Below are 26859 nucleotides of genomic sequence, written 5' to 3'. Positions count from 1 at the left end.
AATATGACCATTTAACATTAATGATACTAACTCCACAATAATTTTTTAGTCTCTCCATGTGCCCAGCATAACAGTACATACAGGAAATACAGAGGTAACATCCAGGCTCTTCTCTGACAAAATATTTGTCAAGAGACAAATTATTTTGTCAATTGAATGAGACAAATATTTTAAAATCAAACTATACAATGTTCTGTGAAAGTTTAAATAGCAAAAATAAAAAGAGGAAAGGTACATGCTCAATTTGTCCAAAAATTGTAGTAGGCTGAATAATAGCCCTCAAAAATACCAGCTTCTAATCCCTGAAAAAAATGTTTTCTCATATGGAAAAAAAGGTCTTTGCAGAGGTGACTGTTAATGATCATGGGATGGAAATATCCTGTTTTATAGTCCGTAAATGCAATCACAACTATTCTTAGAGCCTCAGAGATAGATTATGCATGAAAGAGGAGGAGGCACTATGACCACGAAGGCAGACATGAGAGTCTTCAGGCCACAAACCAAAGACTGTTGAAGCTAGCAGAAGGAAGAAGGAAGAAACAAAGAGCTTAGAGCTTCCTGTAGGAGCATGGGCCTGTTCCCACCTTGATTTTTGCCCCAGTAAAACTGATTTTGGATTTCTGGCTTCCAGAACTGTAAGATACTAAATTTCTGATGTCTTAAGCCACCAAGTTTTTGGGGTTTTTGTTTGTTTTTTACATTAGCCACAGAAAATTAATAGCATATATACCAAGAACAAGGAAGCTCAATCTCAAAAATCTGTCTAAACAACTTTAGAGGGGAATTGTTGCTCCTGGCTTTGATATATCTGTCTTTTTGAAGTTGTCAACTCAGCTTTAGTCATGGAATATTCTGATTCCCTCTGGATACTTAGATATGTACAACCCAAACAGAGCAAATACCAACATATATATTGTCTTTTCCTGTTTCCATCATGTAGGCATAAGATCTGAGAAACACTTCATGGAAGGACTAGAATTTCAAGAATGAATTCAGGAAAAATTAAAAGAGAAAAAAATCCTAGGCAAGTAAAATGACATGAGCAAAAGAACAGAAAAGACAAAGGTTCTGTTTATACCATTGATTGACTTGGTTGAAGAGATAAAACAATATTTAAACAGTTTGAAAGGTCTATGTGAAATTGGGAACATAACTAAATGGTAGGAGTGACTAAAGCCAAATTGGGTAATAATACGGAATTGTGATGATGTCTTGTAAGTGAATGTGTTCCAGGGACTTAGAGTTGATGATTGAAGTATAGGTGAGATGACCAACCTTAGCTCTAATTCTGTGAGCATATTGTTTGTGTCTTCCCCATTAAGACATTGACTATGTTTGAAATTCTAATTGCCTGAGTGTTTCTACTAACAGGATGTACCTTGTACAATTGCTATCCCTTATAGCTGACCTCAACTAGAAAAGGATGTCCCAGGCTCTTTACTTCTTGTGTGAGATATCTCTGAGGAGTCTTCTGCACTGACTCCCAGAATCCTCAACAGGTACAAGCTCCAGTTTCCCCAGTGCACCTTGTCAGATCATAGAACTTACTATCTGAATTGCTTTCTCTCTTTTCCTAAATTCTCCAACCCATGACACCTAGGATCACCTATCACCTCCAAGTACCCTACCTGTTCTCTAACCCTGTCTCAAGAACTGAATCAGCAAAGGCCAAACTAAGATCATTTTTTTCAAACTTTATTTTTCTATCACGCTGTCCAATAATTAATTTTCACAGAGTAGGAATTATGTAATTTTGTGTTAACTATAAAGTTTCTGAATAAAATATGATTGACCAATTTAGGTTTGATTTTCTGATAGACAATGAATAATACTAGCAGATTATCTGTTGTGTATCTGTAATTAGATTTAACTGAATGCTTTGTATTTTTATTGCGAAATCTGTCAGCCTTAGGAAATGATAAGTAATAGGTTTATTTGGAAAGAACTTGCATATCAGGAAAAGAAAGAATCTAACCTGAAGCTAACTGTTTGTGCAGGAGACTTTATTAAAAACTAAGTTTTTAACAGAAGTATTTAATATGTCTTCATTGTGTGCAGCTTAGTGTAATTTGACAAAGAATACAACTTGCAATAATTTTGATTGTTTCTCATACAATATCTTTTAGAGAAACCATAGTTATGTTCTCAATTTTTTAATTATTCAATTATTTCAATCAAATTCTGAAGAGTGTCAGAAAGATGTTCAAATTGGTTCATATAAAAAGCATATTGTCCTAAATCTTGAAACTTTTTGTGTGGTTTTATTTTCCACCTCAGATAAGTTTATAAGCATAGAAACAGAATCACCCACTTTTTTTCTTTTTTTAATGTGTTCTCTTTCTCTTCCACACTCCATATGGTTCTTTTCTGCTTTTGTCCTTCTCACCAGCAAGTTTAAAATTATACAGTATTTAGTAGAAGTAGTTATTTTCTTTTTTTTTTTTACATTTTATTTATTTATTTATTATTATTTTTTTTTTATTATACTCTAAGTTTTAGGGTACATGTGCACATTGTGCAGGTTAGTTACATATGTATACATGTGCCATGCTGGTGCGCTGCACCCACTAACGTGTCATCTAGCATTAGGTATATCTCCCAATGCTATCCCTCCCCCCTCCCCCGACCCCACCACAGTCCCCAGAGTGTGATATTCCCTTTCCTGTGTCCATGTGATCTCATTGTTCAATTCCCACCTATGAGTGAGAATATGCGGTGTTTGGTTTTTTGTTCTTGCGATAGTTTACTGAGAATGATGGTTTCCAATTTCATCCATGTCCCTACGAAGGACATGAACTCATCATTTTTTATGGCTGCATAGTATTCCATGGTGTATATGTGCCACATTTTCTTAATCCAGTCTATCATTGTTGGACATTTGGGTTGGTTCCAAGTCTTTGCTATTGTGAATAGTTAGAATGGCAATCATTAAAAAGTCAGGAAACAACAGGTGCTGGAGAGGATGTGGAGAAATAGGAACACTTTTACACTGTTGGTGGGACTGTAAACTAGTTCAACCATTGTGGAAGTCAGTGTGGCGATTCCTCAGGGATCTAGAACTAGAAATACCATTTGACCCAGCCATCCCATTACTGGGTATATACCCAAAGGACTATAAATCATGCTGCTATAAAGACACATGCACAAGAAGTAGTTATTTTCTCCATGAAAATTAGTTTTATTTATTTGCTTCATCTAAGACATGTTGCTGTGTATTATATTCACTGTTATCTTCACCTGGATCCAATCCAGAGTGAAAGTGATGTTTGCAATGGTTTTAGAAGCAGCATTTTAAAGCTTCAAGTTAATTTTCAGAGCCATTAAACACATTAAAATAAAATACTTCAGGCATTTACCTTTGCTATTCTCTGACGTCCCCACTCATCATCTGCATTTTTCCTTTATGTAAAGTAGTAAAAGTACTTCAAAATATACCTGCAGAATTATTCTCAGGTATTGTGTGTTGATTGGTGTGTTTCTTCCCTAAATTTCCATATCACTTAAGAATCATAACATAATAATCTATTATGTACAGCTTTTTTTTTTTTTTTTTTGAGACGGAGTCTTGCTCTGTCGCCCAGGCCGGACTGCGGACTGCAGTGGCGCAATCTCGGCTCACTGCAAGCTCCGCTTCCCGTGTTCACGCCATTCTCCTGCCTCAGCCTCCCGAGTAGCTGGGACTACAGGCGCCCGCCACCGCGCCCGGCTAATTTTTTGTATTTTTAGTAGAGACGGGGTTTCACCTTGTTAGCCAGGATGGTCTCGATCTCCTGACCTCATGATCCACCCGCCTCGGCCTCCCAAAGTGCTGGGATTACAGGCGTGAGCCACCGCGCCCGGCCTTACAGCTTTCTTTTATCATGTAGCTTTGTGTGCCTGCGTTACGACTTCTGAACAAATTATATGCTTCTTAAGAGAAGGATGTATAGTTTTGCTTTATTTTATCTTTCTTTGGCCAAAGAATATTTCCTCCTCTATGTGAAGTTTCCATTCATATGCCGAAAATAGCATGTCACACTATTGTAATTTTTGGTTGCTTGCCCAATTCCTGAGCAATGCTAAGCTTCCTCGTTTGCTTTATGAAGGTAGAAAACTATTTGTTAGTTTAGTGAATGGATAAGTAAACATATTTGTAAACTCATAAAAATACATCAATATATTATTTATAAACTTTAAAAATATTTTCTATTTTTAATTTTTACAGTTGTTTTTACATGATGCTAGCTTATTTTTCTGTTGTGATAATGGCTTACTGCAATTATCTCAGCTGCACTTGTAAAGTAAGGACATTGTCATTCAATTTATTTTCTAATCAAACAAAGCTTTTCCACATTTTGTGTCACATTATAGGAAATTTATGCTGTCTTACTAGTTTTAAAGTTCTCTTTCCTCATTTATCCCCAACTTTAAATAGCTTTCAATCCCTGGTCTCACTTCCCACATTCTTCATTAAAAGAATCTCTTACTTCAAACAACACTAGTGTCCCATAAGATTTCTGCATAAATCAAAATAGGTCCTTATGAATATCCAAATTCCACTTTAGGGAATGATGTTTTTTTTCCGATGCAGTGTGTAGTTCTTCAATTGAAGAGTAATTTGTGTGGAAAAGAGGATGCTAGGAAACTCTCCGCCTTACACATTGGCATAAATTAAAGGTTGTAATGTGCTTCTGCATGTAGAGAATTATTGAACACATTTTCTTAGTAGAACAGTCTGTAACAACCATGTCAAATAGATTATATATTATAGCTGAGTTACTCAACTCATGTAGCAAGGAGATGGCAGTGCTTTTAACTGCAACCCGCTTCCAAGTTTTGATAACCTGTTTTTGTGCTTTAGGACACACTGATAATCTTTGGTAGACCCGGATTTTTTTTTCAAGGCCAATGTTATTTACAAGCAGAGTTAGCAAATAGTTAATGAGCTATAATTTGAAGGTAAATTGAAAAAAATCTTGCCTCACGTGAATTCCATTATTAATGTTGAGGTTAATAGGAAAATAACAGATGCTTTTTTTTTTTGAGACGGAGTCTCTCTGTCGCCCAGGCTGGAGTGCAGTGGCGCGATCTCGGCTCACTGCAGTCTCCACCCCCCGGGGTTCACGCCATTCTCCTGCCTCAGCCTCCCGAGTAGCTGGGACTACAGGCGCCCGTCACCTTGCCCGGCTAATTTTTTTGTATTTTTAGTTGAGATGGGGTTTCACTGTGTTAGCCAGGATGGTCTCGATCTCCTGACCTCGTGATACGCCCGCCTCAGCCTCCCAAAGTGCTGGGATTACAGGCGTGAGCCACCGTGCCCGGCCAACAGATAGTTATTGAAGGTATTTGGCTATGAATTATAAAATTAATACTTATAAAAATACATGAGGTGGGTACTATTATCTTCATTTACTGGAAACTGAAATTTAGAATGGTTAAATGCTTATAAATCACATATCTGAGGAAAATGAAACTCAGTGAAATTAAATAATTTGTCCAGGTAGCTTTAGAGGAAACATTCAAATCCAGGAGCTTCTGACAAGATAAGCTGGTATCAATCACTATCTTGTCTATTTATTTATTTTCTTGTTTCAATCATTCATTCCAAAACAATTCTAATTTTAAAATACAGTGAAAAATGAGACAAATTATCACTTGTCTACAACTTAATGTATGCTGTGAGTTGTGACCTATGACATCTTCATTTTTATTGATTTTTAAATATTCTACAACTTCAACTTTGATTAGCTATAAAGTTTCAGGTATTTGAAACTTTGCTATGATATTGCTTTTCTTGTCCACACATTTATAATTAACTCTCGTTATATGGACTTCGTGAGGAAGAATGTACTCTGTAACACTTTGGTCTTTTCGACTTATTGGAGTTTCTTCAACATTTTGTGCATGGGTAATAAATGTGAATTTATACAGACACTGAAAAGGAGGACTTTCTTATTATTAGTCGATTAAAAAAATTTAACCAATTTATCTACATCTTTATTTTCTTTTTTTGATACAGATTGCTCTTTTAAATCAATATACTTCTGTCATTTTCACATCAATAAATTATTGCATTTCTAACAGTATTTCTAATTTTTTGTGGCTTTTTAAAATAAAAAGTGCCATAAATTTTATAGGTTTTTTATTATAAAATATGTTGCTCTACATAAAATTATTTCAGTTTAATGACAATTTTTCTTATATTAATAATCCTACCACTATATTTAACTTTTGTGAGCTAAAATTTCACAGCTGTTAATCTGTTGTATAAATTTTTTCATGAGAATGATTTTTGTAATTAGTATCATCTGAATGTATGTATGTTTTAAATTCTGTCAGAGAGCCTTTTAAATTAAAATAAAATTTAATCACAAAGACATGTTACATATAGTTACACATTACTGAGTAGTATGAAAAACATAAAAATATATTATTTGCTTCAAACTCATTTGGTTAATCAAATTTATATTTGTTTTGAATTTTTCTGCACCTAACAGTATACTCATATAACCTACTTAACATTATATTCATGTAGTTTTTTTTCTCCTCTTTTTATCAGCAAGGCAAAATGTGCACATTATTCTAGAATATTCTTTTCTTTTTCACTTAACAATCCATCAATGACATTCATCCATACCAATACCTATAGTCCATCTCATATTTTTAGTGCCTGTATCATATTATATAATATGCGTATACTTTATTCACTCAAAAACTAATATATATTTTAAAGCTACAAAACATTTTGTACATAAATTCTTATGATGGTTTTAACTATAAGCTGGAATTCTAAAAGATGACATTGATTGATGAAGATATAAAGTTTTATTTATAAACAATACCACCATATTTCTCGTCCTACCCCCAATAGCATAGTAGTTCACAATCCAGTCAATAGTGTGGTGCACATTACCATGCCTTCCAGAGTATAAAACAAATGTAGCCTTTTAAAATTTCTCAAATATTGCAGTGATTATTATTTTAGTTTGCATTCCTAATGGTGAATTCATATTCATGTTTTAGTGGCCTATTTGCGTTCTTTAATACTTTTTCCTTTGAGTTAATCATCATTTTTAAAAATGATTCCTTTTAGCAGAGCTATATCTCATGTGTATTGCAAATGTTTCTTCTAATCCATTGTGTCTCTATATATTTTAGACGTATTTAACTTAATTATTCAATATTTTATTTTAAGATACCTATGTTTTCTATATTTTTTCTTACTACGGGGTATTTAACTAATTTATACATATTCTTACAACTATTATGTTTGGTTCTGTCTCTGTCATGTTGTTTAATGATTAGTGTTTGTTTCTTTGTACTTTCAATCTTGGCCCTTACTCCCAATAAAATCTTTTTACTTGCAGGTTTCTTCAGAACTGCATCCAAAGTTGGTCATTCTACTTTAATTTTAGTAAAGAGAACAAAGTCATTCTTTTGTAAAGAATATTATGCTATGATAATCATTCATGCAAATGTTTAAGAAAATAAAATTATAACCTGAATATTAGAAATTAAATTGTTTAAATATTTTTCTAATTTTCTGTTGTTAAATCATTAGATATAGAGTAATTTTAGCCATCATATCTTTTTTACATAGGAAAATTAGGAATCAGTTTATAGCCATAGTCATATCAAGTATATTCTACTTAGACAAAATATGCTGAAATATATGGTAACTGCAGTTTGAGTAATTGCTAATCCATTTTTTTAAACAAAGGTTTTAAATAACATAATCTACAATAGGAAAAAAACTGCATCTTCTTGAATATAGCACAACTGCAAATATAAAAAATGTTCTCTCTTCTTCAGGAAAAGACTCCAGTGATATTCTTCACCAGTTTGAATACACAAAAATTTAACAATGTGTATAATATTGTCAGATGTCAACTGGGAATATCAATTTACTGGTTTACATAATTTGTTGGAAAAGTATTTTGCCTTAAATTTGTCTATACATGATGTTTACTGATCTCAACTCTTTTAACTAAACATTACAGTCACAATGTTTTTTTTTCTTTTGGTGATTTTTTCACTTATATTTTCACTGCTTATCCAGTAATTACTTATATCATAGCATTATTATGTTTTCTGGGGCCTTGAGTATCTGAGAATTTATTACTTTCAAACAAAGCTCTAACCCTGCCTGGTTTGGAATTTATGGATCATAACATGTTTTTCTTCAGAACTCTGAAGCTCTAATGTTCCATTGTATTTAGCTCTTCTAAGACAATGTGCTTTGTTCTTTTATTTATAAATAAAAATTTTTGTTTCTTGTATTCTTGGATATTTCTTTATTGTTATAGCTTAACATTTCCAACGAAATATAATTTGGTGTTGTTCTCTTTATTAAGCTTAAAAGACTTTCTTATATCTTTTACATTTTTCGTCTGAATTATTTATTTATATTAGAAATTATTTCTTGATTGTTATGCTGTTAGTATCATTGCTAAGTTTTCACCTTGATTATGGCTACAGAATGATGATAATGAGTGAAGCAAAAATTGAGCAGTAAATGCCAAATGTGACATGCAGGGTCTTCTTTTTGTATGCAGGAGATTGAGAGAGCAAGAATCGTAGATATGATAGCAACTACAAGAAACTTTGGCTCCATTCTACACGACGGTTCTACCTCTGACTTAAAACTAGGGTAGGCTTCCTTATTGCTCCTCATTGCCATTTCTGGAACATTCTCTTCCTTTCTTCCCTAATAACTACTAGCTTTAGTCACATAAGCCACCAACTATTATAATCATCATCTAATTCCTAGAGTCATTTTCTCCGATTTCTCAAAGAAACCCTAGAATACGTCACTCTCCCCGAAACTTTTCCTTATTTAATTCTTACTTATTTTAATGTCCATATAAATAAACTTCTAATCTCCTGGCTTCTTACTTGAACACCTCCACACCAATACTTTTGATTTCCATTCTACTTCAGCAGCTTATCTTCATGAACATGCTCTAACTTTTCCATGTGATATGTCTATTTCAGTGTTAAGTATCCATCCCTCCACATTTACCATCTTCTACTAGTCCTTTGACTCCAACAGTCCTTCAACCACAACAATACCATTGATCTATAAACTTTTCTCTATTGCTCATCTCGTCATATGTTGAGACTTCTCTCCTCACTCAAACTAAAATCCAACGTCATAATTATACTAATTATTTTGAACATAACCTCATAGGCCTTACAAATTTTTGCCCTTTATATTTGCTTGGTAAAATCCCAACCCTGGTTAAATACTAATGAAGCTTAACTTACCTGGAGAAAAATGGATAGCCTTACGGACTGATCTCATTTAAAATCCTATTTTCTTTAATGTGTCTTTACCTATCCAGTTATCCTACTATTTCCCTGGCCCATTCAGTTTTTCACTTCTTAAAATTCTGTATTATTCTTCTCCTTTCTCTTTAAATTTTCAACGCCGTTTCACTCTCACTTGCAACTTGTGCTCATTATTTTATGAGAAAATTATTAAAGAAATAAGATAAGACATTCCACAAGCTTCCCTCAACTCATTCATCTATCCTGTGTTACATCTGAAATATGTTTCCTGCTTCTGTTCTCCCCATATACCAGAGATATTGTGTATGCACCCATAAGAGCAAACCTATTACATTTGCCCTAGTTGATACTTTTAATATCCACTCAATTATAGAATTTTTTCCTTCTCTCTCTAGCATAATGAACTTCCCCTTTCTCTGTTAAAGCATTCCTACCTGCATATTCATCAAATGTTAGTATCTCTCCCAATGTACAAGCAAGAATAAGACTTCTCTCGGCCGGGCGCGGTGGCTCACGCCTGTAATCCCAGCACTTTGGGAGGCCGAGGCGGGCGGATCACGAGGTCAGGAGATCGAGACCATCCTGGCTAACAAGGTGAAACCCTGTCTCTACTAAAAATACAAAAAATTAGCCGGGCGTGGTAGCGGGCGCCTGTAGTCCCAGCTACTCGGGAGGCTGAGGCAGGAGAATGGCGTGAACCCGGGAAGCGGAGCTTGCAGTGAGCCGAGATCGCGCCACTGCACTCCAGCCTGGGCGACAGAGCGAGACTCCGTCTCAAAAAAAAAAAAAAAAAAAAAAGACTTCTCTCAACTGCATATTCTCTCCAGTCACAACTTATATCTCCACTCCTATCTATAGCAAAACTCCTCAAAATATGTGTCGTTCTTCAACACAGCAAGCAGAATGATGCTTTTAAAATGCAAATTATGCCAAGTCATCCTCCCAATGTTTCTTTTTATTATTATAAGGGCTAAACCCCTTATAATGACCTAAAAGTCTTCTAAGGACCTAAGAGTTCTACAGTCTCTGTCTCTGATTGCCATCTTAACCTCACATCCTACCACTCTCTCCCTTTGTAGTTCAATACAACATACTGGCCTTATGCTGTTTCTCACCTGTGCCTGGCTCTCCAAGGCCCCACCCATCTGCAAGGCTCAACTCTCATTTTCCTTAGATAGTTGTCAAATATCATCTTCTACGAAAGTTCTTCCTCTACCCAATGTACTTACAATTGCAATCTCTATAGGACTTTCTATTCTCTTTGACTCATTTACTTTTCTTCATAAAACTTAGCACCTTCTAATATCTAATATCTTACATATAATGTATTAGTCAGGGTGCTCTGGAGAGACAGAATTAACAGGATATGTGAGTATATGAAGGGGAGTTTATTAAGAAGTATTGACTCACATGATCTCAAGTGGAAGTCTCATAATAAGCTGTCTGCAAGCTGAGGAGAAAGAAAGCCAGTCCAAGCCCCAAAACCTCAAAAGCAGGTAAGCAAACAGTGCAGTCTTCCATCTGTGGCCAGGCAGAGGCCTGAGAGCCCCTGGCAAACCATTGGTGAAAGTCCAAGAGTCCAAAAGCTGAAGAACTTGGAGCAAAATGTGCAAGAGCAGGAAGCATCCAGCACAGGGGAAAGATGAAGGCCAGAAGACTCAGCAAATCTGCTCTTTCCAGCTTCTTCTACCTGCTTTACTCTAGCCACACTGACAGCTGATCAGATGATGCCCATTCAGATTGAGGGTGGGTCTGCCTTTCCCAGTGTGCTGACTCAAATGTTAATCTCCTTTGGCAACACCCTCACAGACACGTCCAGGAACAATACTTTGCATCTTTCTATCCAATTAAGATGACACTCAATATTAACTATCACAAATGTACAAAATTTATTTTTTGCCTTCTTTCCAAAGAGTGTGAAAACTTCCAGAGGCAAAGGTTTTGTTTTGGTTGCTGTTATAATTTCAATATTAGGTATAGCAAAGGTTTTGTTTTCTTTGCTGTTGTAATTTCAACATTAGGTATATTCCGCTACATAATTATGTGCTCAATGTATATTTATTAAATGAATGGATAAATTAATTAGTGAGAGAATAGAAATAATCTGCCAGATATAAGCTCTCCGTTTCTCTCTCAATTATGTTGCCTACATCTTTGCAAAGAATGGCTACCAGAACAGTGCACACACCCTGGGGCTTCCTAGTGTTGTGAGTTAAGTCCATTTGCTACAGGTATGAAGTTACAAGAATCTAAATAGATGACAGAAGTTCACATTTCAGCATGCCTGTCAGTTGCTGCAGGAGATACAGCCTCAGGGAGAGAACTAGGGGCAGACATGCCCTGAATTTTCTTGTGCTGGAGCCCTCTAATCACCCACTAGTGGCTTCCACTGGCAAACCCTGACTAGAAAAAAGTTGACACAAGAGCCTGAGGAGCACAGGTAGCAGGAATTTCTCATACCTCCCTTATTTGGCTATCTAATGCAAGATCCTTTGCCATAGACCTTGCATTAGACAACCAAATAGGGGAAGTGTGAGAAGTAGATCTGAGGGCAAAATTGTCCATGACCGGAACACCATTGTTCAAAGATAGTTTAGAAGGGACTGGCAAAAGACAACTAAACACTTATTCTCAAGTTACTGCCTTGCCAGAAAATCCACAGTGGACTTTACATTTTTCCTCTTGGACAAACTATAATTAATACGAGTTAGATTACCTGCAGAATGGAGGACTGAAATATCTATTTGAAAGTAGGAGAAATACCTTGTAATAAGGACCAGATGCTTAGCTTGAACTCTGAATGACATTCATGACAAAAGTTGCATTATTCCACACTAGTTTAAGTAGCCCACTTGGGCCTGGAAGCAGTTTCTCTTTAAAGGAACAATCGCAAGGACAAAAAACCAAACACCACATGTTCTCACTCATAGGTGGGAATTGAACAATGAGAACACATGGACACAGGAAGGGGAACATCACACACCGGGGACTGTTGTGGGGTGGGGGGAGGGGGAGGGATAGCATTAGGAAGTATACCTAATGCTAAATGACGAATTAATGGGTGCAGCACACTAACATGGCACATGTATACATATGTAACAAACCTGCACGTTGTGCACATGTACCCTAAAACTTAAAGTATAATAATAATAATAATAATAATAATAATAATAATAATAATAAAGAACACACAGTATTTCAAAGTCAAATGAACCCTTGGAGTATTTTATTTTATTTTTTAAATAGGTTCTTGCCCCATTGTCCAGGCTGAAGTGCAGTGTCATGATCACAGCTCACCATAGCCTCGACCGCCTGGTCCCAGGTAATCTTCCCACCTTAGTGGAGTTTATTTCATCCCACATACAGCCAAAATTGCTGTAATCCCAAAATTGCTGTCAAACTTCAACTATTTCATGTACTGTAAAATTTCTCCAACCTTGAAATGTCTACTGCATGAAGATTCTTTGAGCTGAAAAAGAATAAATTATAAAGATTAGCATTTATGAACCAAGATAAAAGAGACATTTACGTTTCACCCAGTTGTTGACAGATATTATCACAGAACTGTCAATTGGGAAATTGGTACCCTGACAATCATGGTCATTTTACAACATTTTAAAAAATATCTTATGGATCACCTTGGTTTTCTTTCTATCAGGAATGTTAGATTACTGGATAAATAGATATAAAAGAAAGACATCTTTTTGATACACATTTATTTTTCATCAACAGAGATTTGTACTCACAAAGGGAAAGTACACTGACATAGGTCTGGTTGCACTGTGTGCTGCTGGAATATGAAAGATAATAAAAACTGATCAAAGGATGAGATACTGTGGTGGAGAGCTAGTCAACTAGAGAGGACTGGTCAACTGGCAAACTGATCTGTGAGGCTGCAGGATGAACTCAGAGGACTAATCCCGTTTCTGCACTTTAGTGTATGCACTGACTGCTTAACCTACTCCTGAGTATGTGCTATGTGAGAAAGATAGAATATCTATCAAATACTCAGGTTGTTTGATTTTCCATAATGTGTTGGTTGAAATTATTTTACACATGACTCTTTGCTAGACAAGACTGATTCTGAAATGGAATTTTTTCACAGCATGAGATCTTAAATTTAAAACCACCCTGTTCAGTTTTATCAACGGTGGTTTCCAAAGCTAATGATTTCTTTTATTTTCCCTGTAAAGCAGCAAATCTATCACAGGTAGACAGAGTGCAAATAGGCATGATTAAAATGTTATTTATTCTGGTGAACAACTGGAAGATACTTAAATGTCTAACAAAGGAGAGACAGCAGTATGGTTTAAAACACTACAGTTTGTACATATAAATAATACTATGCTCTTCCATGAAACATCCCTTTTCTTGGACCTCTTTCTGAAAGAAGGAATGCCTATTAAAGTAACTCATATGTCCTCTTTTCCTACCCCTTTGTACATCCCTCCTTGACTGATCAGTTTCACAAAAAGGACACATGTAATTCAATCAATGCTTCTCTTTACAAATCAAACCTGTCTTCTGAATGTATATGTTCCTTGTTCCTTCATGTTATAAACTCATAGGACCAGACTATAACCCTGCAGGATCCAAGGATGTATTCCACTGTGGATCCATAATACAGTATTAGTAAACTTGCTTGGTCACCAATCTAGAGTTATTTACTTCTATCAGATTATCATCAGTAACAGAGGTAATATTTTGATCATTTTCTCTCAACCTTCCCCATCTGCTCATCTCTCAATTAGTTCCTTAGAAAGAAAGGAGTTGCTTTTCATTTGTTTATTTTTGTTTTTATTGACTCAACTGAAATCTGAGTTTTTATCAACTAGGAACATTAAAAAGTAGACAAAAGCTGTAATTTCAATACCAAAGTACATTATGAAAATTGAGGTTTCTGATTTTCTCAAAGCTTTAAATTTGTATCTTACTTTGGTTTTAGTTTGGCAAAACACAGATACAGAAAATGAAACAAAACATATGTGAAACTTAACAAACTATTGTAAGAAAAATACCCTTTTAACCACTACCCAGGTCCTGCCCTGGCCAGGTTAATAAAACTTTGTCAGCCATCCCAAAAGTCATCCATATTAACAGACCTCTTCCGTGCATCAAAAGAAACAAACACCAATTTGTACAATGATTATTTTCATTCATTTATTTACGTTTATATTTGTCTAGGTATGCATGCATAGGCATTAATAGTATAGTTTTGTCCATTGTTTTAACTTCATATGTCATGTCTTTTAACTTTTTATTAGCATTTAGATTCTTCTTCATTATTTTCTCTTTTTGGACTTTTTTTTAGAGCAGTTTTAGGTTTACAGAAAATTTGAGTGGAAAATACAGAAATTTCCCATCTACACCCACTCCCCACACACATATAGCCTTCCATGTTATCAACATTCTCCACCAGAGTGGTATGTTTGTTAGAACTGAATCTATATTAACACATCATTGTCATCCAAAGTCCTTACTTTAGGGATTATTCTGGTTGTGTACATCCTATGGGTTTGGATCACTTTCTAATGACATGTGTCCACTATTATAGTATCACATAGAATAGTTTCATTGCTCAAAGAATCCTCTGTGCTCTATCCTTTCCACCCACTGTCTCCTAGAAAACACTGATCTTTTTACTGTCTCCAAATTTGACTTTTCCAGAACATCATTTTGTTGGAATCATAAAGTGTGTAGCCTTTTCAGATTAACTTGCTAAGTAGTAATATGCATTTAAGTTTCTTCAGTGTCTTTTCATACCTTGACATTCATTTCTTTTTAATGCTGAGTAATATTCTATTGTCTAGATGTAACAACTTTTTAAATATATTTACCTACTCAAGGGCAATGAGATTTGTTTATATATTTACCTATTCAAGCAAACAAATTTATGTTTGCTTCCAAGTTTTGGCAATTTGACATAAAGTTGCTCTGAATAATTTTGTTCAAGTTTTTGTGTGCACATGTTTTTAACTCCTTTGGGTAAATACTAAGGAGTATGATTTCTGTATCATATGAATATTGTATCTTCCATTTTGTGAGAACATGACAAATGTCTTCCAATGTGTTTGCACTGTTTTGCATTCCCCCCAGCAATAAATGAGAATTCTTCTTACCCCACCTCCTCACCAGCATTTGGTTCTGTCCATGTCCTGAATTGTGCCCATTCTAATAGATATATAGTGGTATCTTATATCACTTTGATTTGCATTTGTCTGATGACATATGATGTGGAGTAAATTTTAACGTGGTTATTTAGCATCTACGTCTCTACTTTGATGAGCTCTGTTAAGGTCTTTGACCAATTTTTTAATTGAATAGGTTTATTTTCTTATGGCTTAGTTTTAAGAGTTCTTTGTATATTTGTTATAACAGTTCTTTATAATATATGTCTTTTGCAAATATTTTCTCTTAGTCTGTGCTTCGGTTTTTTTTTCCATTTTGTTGATAGTCTCCTTCACAAAGTGGATGTTTTCAATTTTAAAGAAGTCCAGTTTACCAATTTTTTATTCATTATGTATTTGGTGTCCTATCAAAAAAGTTATTGCTAAGCCCCAAGTTATCTAGATTTTCTTCTATGTTATCTTTAGGGAGTTTTAGAGTTCCTTATTTTGCGTCTTATCTATGTTCCATTTTGAGTTAATTTTGTGAAGAGTGTAAGTCTATATCTAGATTCATTGTTTTGGCATGTGGATATCTAGTTTTTACAGAACCATTTATTTAAAAGACTATCTCTATTGCATTGCCTATGATGCCCATATTGCATTGTCTATATTACCTATATACTGACTATATTTTTGTGGATCTATTTCTGAGCTCTCTCTTCTATTTCACTGATATATTTTTTCCTTCACCATCCTTTTTTGATTACTGTATATTTATACTAAGTCTTTAAGTTAGAATCAGTCTTTCGACATTGTTCTTCTTTAATATTCAGCTTACTATTATATGTTGTTGATATCACTACATAAACTTTAGAATCAGTTTGTAAATACCCACAAAATAACTTGCTGGGATTTTGGTTGGGATTGCATTAAATCTGTATGTTAAGTTGGGAAGAATTGACATTTTGACAACATTGAGACTTATCCATAATCATTGAATATGTCCCACATATAGTTCTTCCTCAATTTCCCTCTTAAGTTTTATAGTTTTCCTCATATTCGTGTGGTATGTATTTTGTTATATTTATACTGATTTCAATTTGGGGGTGCTAATGTAAGTGATACTGTGATTTTAACTTTAAATTACACTTGTTCATTGCTGGTATATATAAAAGTATTTGACTTTTATGTATTCAGCTTGCATCCTTCAACCTTGCTGTAATCACTTATTAGTTTCAGGTTTTGTTTTTTGTTTTTGTTTTGCTAGTTATTCTGTACTTTCTATATAGACAATCATGTCAACTGCAAACAAAGAGAGTCTTATTTATTCCTTCCTGATCAAGGTTCCTTTTATTTCCTTTTCTTGTCTTATTTAATTAGCTATGATTTCTAGTACAAGGTTGAAAAGAAGTGGCAAGAAGGGACATTCTTACTTTTTTCCTGATTTTAGTGGAAAAACTTCTAGTTTCTCACCATTAAGTAAGATATTAACTGTAGTATTTCATAGATATTCTTAGCAAGGTGAGAAATATTTCTTCTATTCTTAGTTTATTGAGTTCTTATCATGAATGACTGTTGGATTTTTTTCAAATGCTTTTTCTGCAACTATTGATGTCATCATGTGATTTTTCTTCTCTAGCCTATTGATGTGATGGATTACATTAACTGATTTTTGAATGGTAAACCAGCCTTGCAAACCTGGGATAAATCCTGCTGGTCATAGTGTATATTTCTTTTTATTCACTGTTGAATTAAACATATTAATATTTTGTTGAAGATTTTTATACATTTATAAGAGATAGTGTTCTGCAGCTTTTTTTTTCCTTGTCTGCTTTTGGTGTTAAGGTAATTCCAGCCTCACACAATGAGTTAAAAAGTTTTCCTGCTACTTCTGTTTTCTGAGAGAGGTTGTGGAGAATCGGTTTATTTTTTTCTTAAGTGTTTGGTAGAATTCACCCATGAATTCATCTTGGCCTGGTGCTTCACTTCACTTTCACTTTTGTTTTGGAATGATATTATTCAATATCTTTAATAGATTTAGTTCTACTCAAATTATCTATGTATTTTTGTGTGAGTTTTGACAGATTGTATCTCAAAATGAATTAGTACGTTTTGTCAAGATTATCAAATGTGTAGGCATACCATCCTTCATAGTATTTTTTGATTACCTATTTAATATCCATGAGATCTGTAGTGCTGTCTCCTCATTTGTTTCTCATATTAGTAATATTTATCTTTTTTCTGTTTTGCTTAGTTAGCCTGGCTAGAGGACTATGTACTTTATTATTTTTTTCAGTGAGCAAGCCTTTTGCTTTTATTGATTTTCACTATTGGTTTTCTGTTTTCAATTTCTTTGACATCTGCTCTAATTTTTTAAAACTTTCCTTTCTTATGCTTACTTTGCATTTAATTTACTCTTACTTTTCTAGTTATGTAAGGTGGAAGCTTAGATGATCAACTTCAAATTTCTCTTCCTTTCTATTAGCTGCATTTAATGCTGTACATTTTCCTCTAAAAACTGCTTTCACTGCATTCTACAAATTATGTTAAGTTGTGGTTTTATTTCATTCAGTTCAAAATATGTTTAAATGTCTCTTAAAATTTTTTTTGATTCATGCATTATTTAGAAGCATGTTTTTTAATTTCCAAATATTTTTAGGTTTTCTTAAGGTCTTTCAGTTATTGATTTCTAATGTAATTGCATTGAATTCTGAGAACAGATATTATATGATTTCTACTATTTAAAATGCATTAAAGTATGTTGTATGGCCCAGAATGTGCTCTATCTTGGTGTGTGTTCCATCCAAGCTTGAGAATAATGTATATTACATTGCTGTTGGGTGAAGTAGTCTATAGATGTTAATTATATCTAGTTGATTGATGGTGGTGTTGAGTTTCACTATGCTCTTATTGACTTTCTACCATGCAGGTTCTATCCCTTTCTGATAGAAACATGTTGAAATCTCCAATTATGATAATAGATTCATCTATTTCTCCTCCCAGTTTTATCAGTTTTTGCCTCACATAGTTTGATATTCTGTTGTTGGGTACACACACCTTAAGGATTGTTATATCTTCTTGGAAAATTGACACCTTTATCATTGTGCAATGCCCTTCCTTACTCCTGATAACTTTTCCTGCGTTGAAGTCTATTCTGTCTGAAATTAATGTAGCTATTTCTGCTTTTTAAAAATGTGTTAGGAGAGTATATAATTTTTACCATCTATTTACTTTTATTTTATGTGTGTCTTTATATTTAAAGTGGGTTTTTTGTAAACAACATGTAATTGGTTCTTGTTTTTTGATCTACTCTGACAATTTTTGTTGTTTATTGGTCCATTTAGACCATTGTCATTCAAAGCAATTATTGACCTAGTTGTATTAATATCTACCATGTTTGTTTCTGTTTTCTATTTAGAGTTGTTTGTTCCTGTTTTTGTCTTCCACTCTTTTACTGTCCTTTGTAGTTTTAATTGAGCATTTTATATTATTCCATTCTTTCTTCTTTTAGTACATCAATTACTTTTTCAAATTCTTGCCTTGAAGTTTACAATTACATTTACAATTAACCAAAGTCTACTTTAAAATACTAAACTGTTTCATTATGAGTACGTTATAATAAAAAATTATTAATTTCTCCCTTCCATCCCTTGTATTATTCCTGTCATTTGTTTCATTTATTTATCGTATTATCCTATTCTCACACTGCTATACAGAAACACCTGAGACTGGGTCATTTATCAAGAAAAGTGGTTTAATTGGCTTATGATTCTGTGGGCTATCCAGGAAGCATGGCAGCATCTGCTTGCCTTATGGGGAGGCCTCAAAAAACCTGCAATTATAGCAGAAAGCAAAGGGGGAAGCAGGCATGTCTTACATGGCCACAGGAGAAGGAAGAGAGTGAGAGGGGGTGGTGGTGTTACACACTTTTAAACAACCAGATCTCATAATAACTCACTCACTATCAGCACTGAGAACGGCACTGAGGGCATGGTGCAAACCCATTCATGAGAAATCCTCCCTCATTATCCAATCACCTCCTACCAGTCCCCACCACCAACATAGGGGATTACAATTTGACATGAGATTTGATGAAGACAAAGATTCAAACCATGTCATTTATAATCATACATAAGCATATATATATATATATATATATATATATATGTTTCTATATATACCATACACATAATATTACACATAAGTTTACAAAAATAAAACACATTCTCATTATTATTATTTTAAACCATTATCTGTTACATCAACAAAGAATAAGAAAAAATAATAAAAGTTTTCATTTTATCTTCCCTTATTCATTTTTTTATATAGATATGAGTTTCTGACTTGTTACTTTCCTTTTCTCTAAAGAACTTTTAACATTTCTTGCAAGGCAAGACTACTGGCAACAAATTGCCTCAATTTTTGTTTGTCTGAGAAAGTTGTAATGTCTCTCTCACTTTTGAAAGGTAATTTCACCTAGAGCAGAATTTTAGATTGATGGTTTTATTGCTGTTGTTGTTTTCTCTCAACACTTTAGGTATTTCACTCCACTCTCTTCTTGCTTACATGGTTTCAGATGTAATTATTCCTATCTTTGCTCTTCTATAGCTAAGGTGTTTCCCCTCACTCCAGCTTCTTTCAGGTTGTGTTCTTTACCTCTGATTTTTTAGTAGTTTGAAAACCATGTACCTATGTGTAGTTTTTTTATTTTGTCATTTATACTGCTTGGTGTTCTCTGTGGCTTTGTGATATTGATTTTAAAAAATTCTCAGCCATTATTGCTTCAAATATTTAATTTTGTTTTCTTTATTTCTTCTCCTTTTGGTAGTATTATGCAGTTTTACACCGTATGTAATTGTTTCTGTTATTCTCATTTTTTTCTCAGAATTTAGTCTTTCTTTGTGTAAAACTAGTTTATTCAAGTATTCAAACAGGTAAGTAAAAGAAACTAAATAATATACAATGTAAGAATCATTCCTGGAGGGATACTAAGTTAACTATGTACATTTTCCATGACTAGCTATTTGGTGAATCATCAGGATTAAAATGAAAAACACACATTTAGCAGACACTGCTCATTTTCCTAAGAGGAAAAAACCTTACTTTTCCTACTCACTTCAAGTAGAAACTCCACATTACTAACAAGCCTTTAGTTCACAAACTTTGTTTTGGTCCTATTCAATTTCTCTATAGGATCTTTCGGTCTTTATACTACTTAGGCATTGCTGTGGGTCCCTGGCATTCACTAGCTTTTAGATTAGACCAGTTCCTTTCCCAATGTCAGCAGCTGTTTTGAGCTTGGGTGACTGTACTTTTCTGTAAAAACTCATAGGTTATTTTGGAGTTCTCCTGTTGTCAGGTCTGTCAAATGCCCCTTCCTTTCCTCTGCTTTCTTGCATGCAGATGCCAAAAACACACAGGTCTCATCATTGTATATTCACTGACTTCAATGTTTATGTTCTTGGAGAAAACTTATCACCTAGGTTTTGGTTCTGCTATCTAATTATCTGCTTTTGAATGGGAATCTAAGGAGATTCAAAAATTATCCTGCTACTTCTTTCACCAACCTTCCAGGAGGACCTGCACTTTTTCATGACTTAGAAGTATAGCTTTTGTGAAGTTTTGAATATAGTGAATTATAGCAGTTTGTTGAGGTTCTATTTACAGAGGTGTGATAGTTTTATACAGCTGCACTGTTGAATTTTTACTAATATTTACTAAATACATGCCATAATTCTTCATAAGCAGGGATGGTAACTTGACCTCTTCTATAAAACATAATTTTTATTTTATCTGAAAGGGCTGACCTGAAGCTTTGATTTAAGGGTAATTACATGAGTTTAGCCCTCTAAACCAGTGTATTATTGAAATTTGTGAAAAAAAAGAAAAGTAAAACAAGGCATGTAGATTTTATTACTGAACATATAAGAAAGAACAGCAGGTCTTTGATATGAACAGAATAGCCTATCTTCTTAGTTTGAGCTATAAAAAAAATTCACTAAAATTATTTCAACCCAAACACTAACATGTACATTGAAAGATGTAAAAAATACAGAGTGTTTTAAAAATATGCCTTAGTCTCTACTGTTAGAAAAATAGAAATTTGAGAATTTTTAAAAAGAAAGATAGGCTGATTAGCCTGAAGGAAGAAATAGATTTTCTCAAGACAAACTCACAACCTTAAACTTTGACCTCAATGGAAGAGAAAAAGTGATATAATGTATTTGATTTTAAACATGATACTATAAAAATGGGACATATTTAGACATCACTAGAACAAAATTTACTATGTTTCAAAAACACTTAACAAAAGTACAGAGGTAAGATCATAGAGAGCAGATGGGCATGACTTCTTAGAGCAATCCAGGTTTTGATGAATTATTTAACTATATCCTCTGAAAGCTTTATAATATCTATAGTAGCAATGTAATCTGGTATTATAATGTGACCGTTTCTATCTTGTCTATTCACCTTAGGTCCCCAAACTGAGAATAGCAGAAATCAAGTAATCTTTGTATTGTAAAAAGAGATAATAGTCAATCTATTGGGACTTGCAAAGACGGGGGCCCAAGACAAATCCAGTCACCATTAATGCATCATGCACATTTAAGCTAGAAATCCATTAGGAGGCCAAAACTGTGAATTCCTTTGGAGAGATCAGGAAGACTAATGTTTCCTCTGTCCTGTCCTCTGTGTAGGAGAAAAAAGGGGAGTACTTCACCCTTTCAGACACAGAACAAGGGAAAATAATGTCTGAAAATCATTTGGAGACCTTAACATTTATGATCCCTGGAGTATTAGAGAATTATGGACCTAGCGACTGTTCCTGACTCATACTCATTAAAAATCTAAAAAGAGAGAAGTTGGCTGGAGTGCTTAGTGATCTTTATAAAAGGACAGGACGTCATTGGGAAGATCTTTTTGCCCTAAGAAAATTATCTAATCTTTCTCTCCCCTGGCCACACCTTAGAGAATCCAATCATAGAATAAAGATAGCAGGGGACAGAGCAGCATCTGGAGACTCACATCATGAACTTTTGCTCAAAGAACAGGAACATACCAGGAAAACCAAGAGAATCCAATGACCCTTTAAAGGAACTGGATCCCTGCTGCAGGCTCCCTGAGATGCTGAAAAACTGTGAGTTGGCTTGCTTTCTCAGCAAGGAGGCTCATGGTCTGGGGCAAGTTCTCAGCCCTGGTCACCAGCTGCCTGGCAATAGATTCAGTGCTGTTGGGTGGGGCACTAGGGGAGTGAGACTGGCCTTTAGGGCTGTGGGCTACATGGGAACAGGGTGAGGCCTGTGACTGCCAGCTTTCCCCCACTTCCCTGGCGACCTGTATGACTCAGCAGAGGCAGCCATAGTACCCCTGGGAATATAACTCCATTGGACTGGGAACCACACCCCCAACCCCAGAGCAGCTGCAATAAGCCCTGCCCAAGGAGAGGCTGAGCTCAGACATGCCTATCCCTGCCCCCACCTGGTGGTCTTTATCTACCCACCCTGGTAGCTGAAGACAAAGGTCGTAATCTCTTGGGAGCTCTATGGCCCTGCCCACCACCTGAGAATCCTGAATACTTAACCAGGTGTCCCTAGGGCAAGTTTGCATCCTCCCTATAGGACTGCAGCTGATGCACTCTTGAAAGTGCCACCTTCTCGCTGGAGGCCAACCAACACAAAACCAGCACACTAAACAAAAACACAACCAAGGACCCTCACAGAATCCACTTCACTCCCTTGCCATCTCCACAGGAGCAGGTGCTGGTATCCACGGCTGCAAGACCTGAAGACAGATCACATTGCAGGACTCTTTGTAGACATTCTCTATTACCAACCCAGAACCTAGTAGCTCCACTGGGCAGCTAGACCCAGAAGAGCAAAAACATTTAGTACAGTTCAGCTTTCAAGAAGCCCTATTCCTATGGGAAGAGGGGGAATAACACATCATGGGAGCACCCCATGGGACAGAAGAATCTGAACAGCAGCCCAGATCTTCCCTCTGACATAGCCTACCCAAATGAGAAGGAATCAGAAAAACAGTTCTGGTAATATGACAAAACAACATTCCTTAACACTCCCAAAAGATTATACCAGCTTACCAGCAATGTATCCAAACCAAGAGAAAATCTCTGAATTGCCAAAAAAAGAATTCAGAAGATCAATTATTGAACTAATCAAGGAATCACCAGGGAAAGGTGAAGTCCAACTTAAAGAAATCAAAATCACGATACAGGATATGAAAGGAAAATTCTTCAGTGAAATAGATAGCATAAATAAAAAATAATCACAACTTCTGGAAATCAAGGACACACTTGAGAAATGTGAAATGCACTGAGAAGTCTCAGTAATAGAATCGAACAAGCAGAAGAAAGAAATTCTGAGTTCAAAGACAAGGCTTTTGAATTAACTCAATCCATCAAAGACACAGAAAAAAAGAATTTTTAAAAATTAACAAAGCCTGCACTAAGCTTGGGACTATGTTAAAAATCCAAACCCAAGAATAATAGGTGTCCCAAGGAAGAACAGAAATCTAAAAGTTTATAAAACATATTTGAGGGAATAATCAAGCAAAACTTCCCTGATCTTGCTGGAGAACTAGACACCCAAATAAAAGAAGCTAAAAGAACACCTGGAAAATTTATCAAAAAAAGATCTTCACCTATGCACATAGTCATCAGGTTATCAAAAGTCAAGATGAAAGAAAGAATCTTAAGAGCTGTGAGGCAAAGCATCAGGTAACCTATAAAAATACCCCTGTCAGATTAACAGCAGATTTTTCAGCAGAAACTCTACAAGCTAAAAGGGATTGGGATCCTATTTTAGCCACCTTAAACAATACAATTATCAGCCAAGAATTTTCATCTAGTGAAACTGAGTTTCATCAATGAAAAAACGATATAGTTTTTTCCAGACCAAAAAATACTGAGAATTTGCCACTACCAAACAAGCATTACAGGAACTGCTAGAAGGCACTCTAAATCTTGAAACAAATCCTCAAAATAAACTAAAATATAGTCTCCTTAAAGCATAAATCTCACAGGATCTATACAAAAATAACACAATGAAAAGAAAAACAAGGTATTCAGGCAACAAGTAGCAAAATAAATATAATAGTAGCTCACATCTCAATATCAACATTAAATGTAAATGGCCTAACTGTTCCACTTAAAAGATACAGAATGGCAGAATGGATAAGAACTCACCAACCAAGTTTCTGCTGTCTTCAGGAGACTCACCTAACACATAAGGTTAAGGTAAGGTAAGTTACCTAAACTTAAGGTAAAGAGGTGGAAAAAGTTATTTTCATGTAAATGGACACAAAAAGTGAGTAGCTATTCTTACATCAGCTAAAACAAACTTTAAAGCCACAACAGTTTAAAAAGACAGAAAATCATTATATAATAATAAAAGGACACATTCAAAAGAAAAACATTACAATTCTAAATATATATACACCTAACACTGGAGCTCCCAAATTTATAAACTAATTACTACTAGACCTAAGAAATGAGATAAATGGCCACAAATCCATTTGCTAATGGACTTAACATTTGTTAACAATAAATCACTTAACAAATGTTAAGTCCATTTGTGGGGGGACTTTAATACTCCACTGACAGCACTAGACAGGTCACCAAGACAGAAAGTCAACAAAGAAACAATGGACTTAAACAATACCCCACAACAAATGGACTTAACATTTCTTAAGTTCATTAACAAATGGACTCAGATATTTATAGAACATTCTACCCAACAACTTGTAGAATATACATTCTATTCATCAGCACATGAAACATTCTCCAGGATAGACCATATGTTAGGTCACAAAAAAAGTCTCAGTAAATTTAAGAAAATCAAAATATCAAGTACTTCCTCAGACCACAGTGGAATAAAATTGGAAATTAACTCCAAAAGGAGTCCTCAAAACCAAGAAAATACATGAAAATTAAAACTGCTCATGAATGATCATTGAGTCAACAACGAAATCAAGATGGAAATTTAAAAATTCTTTGAACTGAACAATAATAGTGACACAACCTATCAATACCTCTGGGATACAGCAAAAATCGTGCTGAAATGAAAGTGCATAGCACTAAATGCCTACATCAAAAAGTCTGAAAAAGCACAAATTGACAATCTAAGGTCACAGCTCATGGAACTGAACAAACAAGAACAATCCAAACCCAAACCCAGAAGAAGAAAAGAAGTAACAAAGATCAGAGCAGAATGACATGAAATTGAAACAAATTTAAAAAAATACAAAAGATAAATGGAACAAAAAACTGTTATTTTTTGAAAAGATAAATAAAATTGGTAGACCATTAATGAAATTAGCCAAGAAGAGAGAAGATCCAAATAAGTTCAATTACAAATGAAACAGGAGATATTACAACTGATACCACAGAAATACCAAAGAGTATTCAATGCTACTATGAATATCTTTATGCGCATAAACTAGAAAACCAAGAGGAGATGGATAAATTCCTGGAAATATACAACCCTCATAGATTTAACCAGGAAGCTATAGAATCTCTGAACAGACTAATAAGAAGCAGTGAGATTGAAATGGTAATAAAAAACATGCCAACAAAAAAAAAGAGTCCAGGACCACAGATTCAGAACTGAATTATATCAGAGATTCAAAGAATAATTGGTACCTATCCTATTGACACCATTCCAAAAAATAAAGAAAAAGGGAATCCTCCCTAAATCATTTTATGAAGCCAGTATCACCCTAATACCAAAATCAGAGAAAGACATAACAACAGCAACAACAACAACAAAAACTACAGACCAATATCCCTGATGAATAGAGATGCAAAAATCCTCAACATCATACTAGTGAACAAAATTCAACAGCATATCAAAAGGATAATCCACCATAATCAAGTGGGTTTCACACCAGGGATTCAGGGATGGTTTAACATACATAAGCCAATAAAGGTGAAACACCACATAAACAGAGTTAAGAATAATAATTATATGATCATCTCAATAGATGCAGAGAAAGCATTTGACAAAATCCAGCACCCCTTTATGATTAAAACCCTCAGCAAAATCGGCATAGAAGGGACATAACTTAAGGTAATAAAATCCATCTATAACAAATCCACTGCCAACATTATACTGAATGGGCAAAAGTTGAAAGCATTCCCCCTGAGAACTGGAACAAAATAAGGATGCCCACTCTTACCACTTCTATTTAACAAAATACCTGAAGACCTAGCCAGAGCAATCAGACAAGAGAAGGAAATAAAGGACATCCAAATTGGTAAAGAGGAAGTCAAACTATCACTGTTTGATGCTGATGTGATTGTATACCTAGAAAACCCTAGAGACTCCTTCAAAAAGCTCCTATAACTGGTAAATGAATTTAGCAAAGTTTCAGGATACAACATTAATGTACACAAATCATTAGCTCTGATATATACCAACAGTGACCAAACTGAGAATCAAATCAAGAACCCAGCCCCTTTCACAAT

The 26859-nt window shown here is 34.7% G+C and overlaps 2 annotated features.

Moving 5' to 3' along the window:
- Positions 22054 to 23253: an enhancer, noted in NCBI's record as "BRD4-independent group 4 enhancer chr1:102676249-102677448 (GRCh37/hg19 assembly coordinates)". NCBI's record gives its function as "activates an origin of replication core promoter dependent on BRD2, P300/CBP, MED14 and CDK7 cofactors, and independent of BRD4, by STARR-seq in HCT116 cells {active_cell/tissue: HCT116}" and the evidence as "EXISTENCE:reporter gene assay evidence [ECO:0000049][PMID:35650434]".
- Positions 22682 to 23183: an enhancer, noted in NCBI's record as "H3K27ac hESC enhancer chr1:102676319-102676820 (GRCh37/hg19 assembly coordinates)". NCBI's record gives its function as "activates a minimal SCP1, AML or CMV promoter by ChIP-STARR-seq in primed H9 embryonic stem cells {active_cell/tissue: H9 hESC(primed)}" and the evidence as "EXISTENCE:reporter gene assay evidence [ECO:0000049][PMID:30033119]".

The sequence above is a fragment of the Homo sapiens genome, chromosome 1 (assembly GCF_000001405.40).
Source record: "Homo sapiens chromosome 1, GRCh38.p14 Primary Assembly".
NCBI lineage: Eukaryota > Metazoa > Chordata > Mammalia > Primates > Hominidae > Homo > Homo sapiens.
This window is presented reverse-complemented; position numbering and strand designations above follow the sequence as displayed.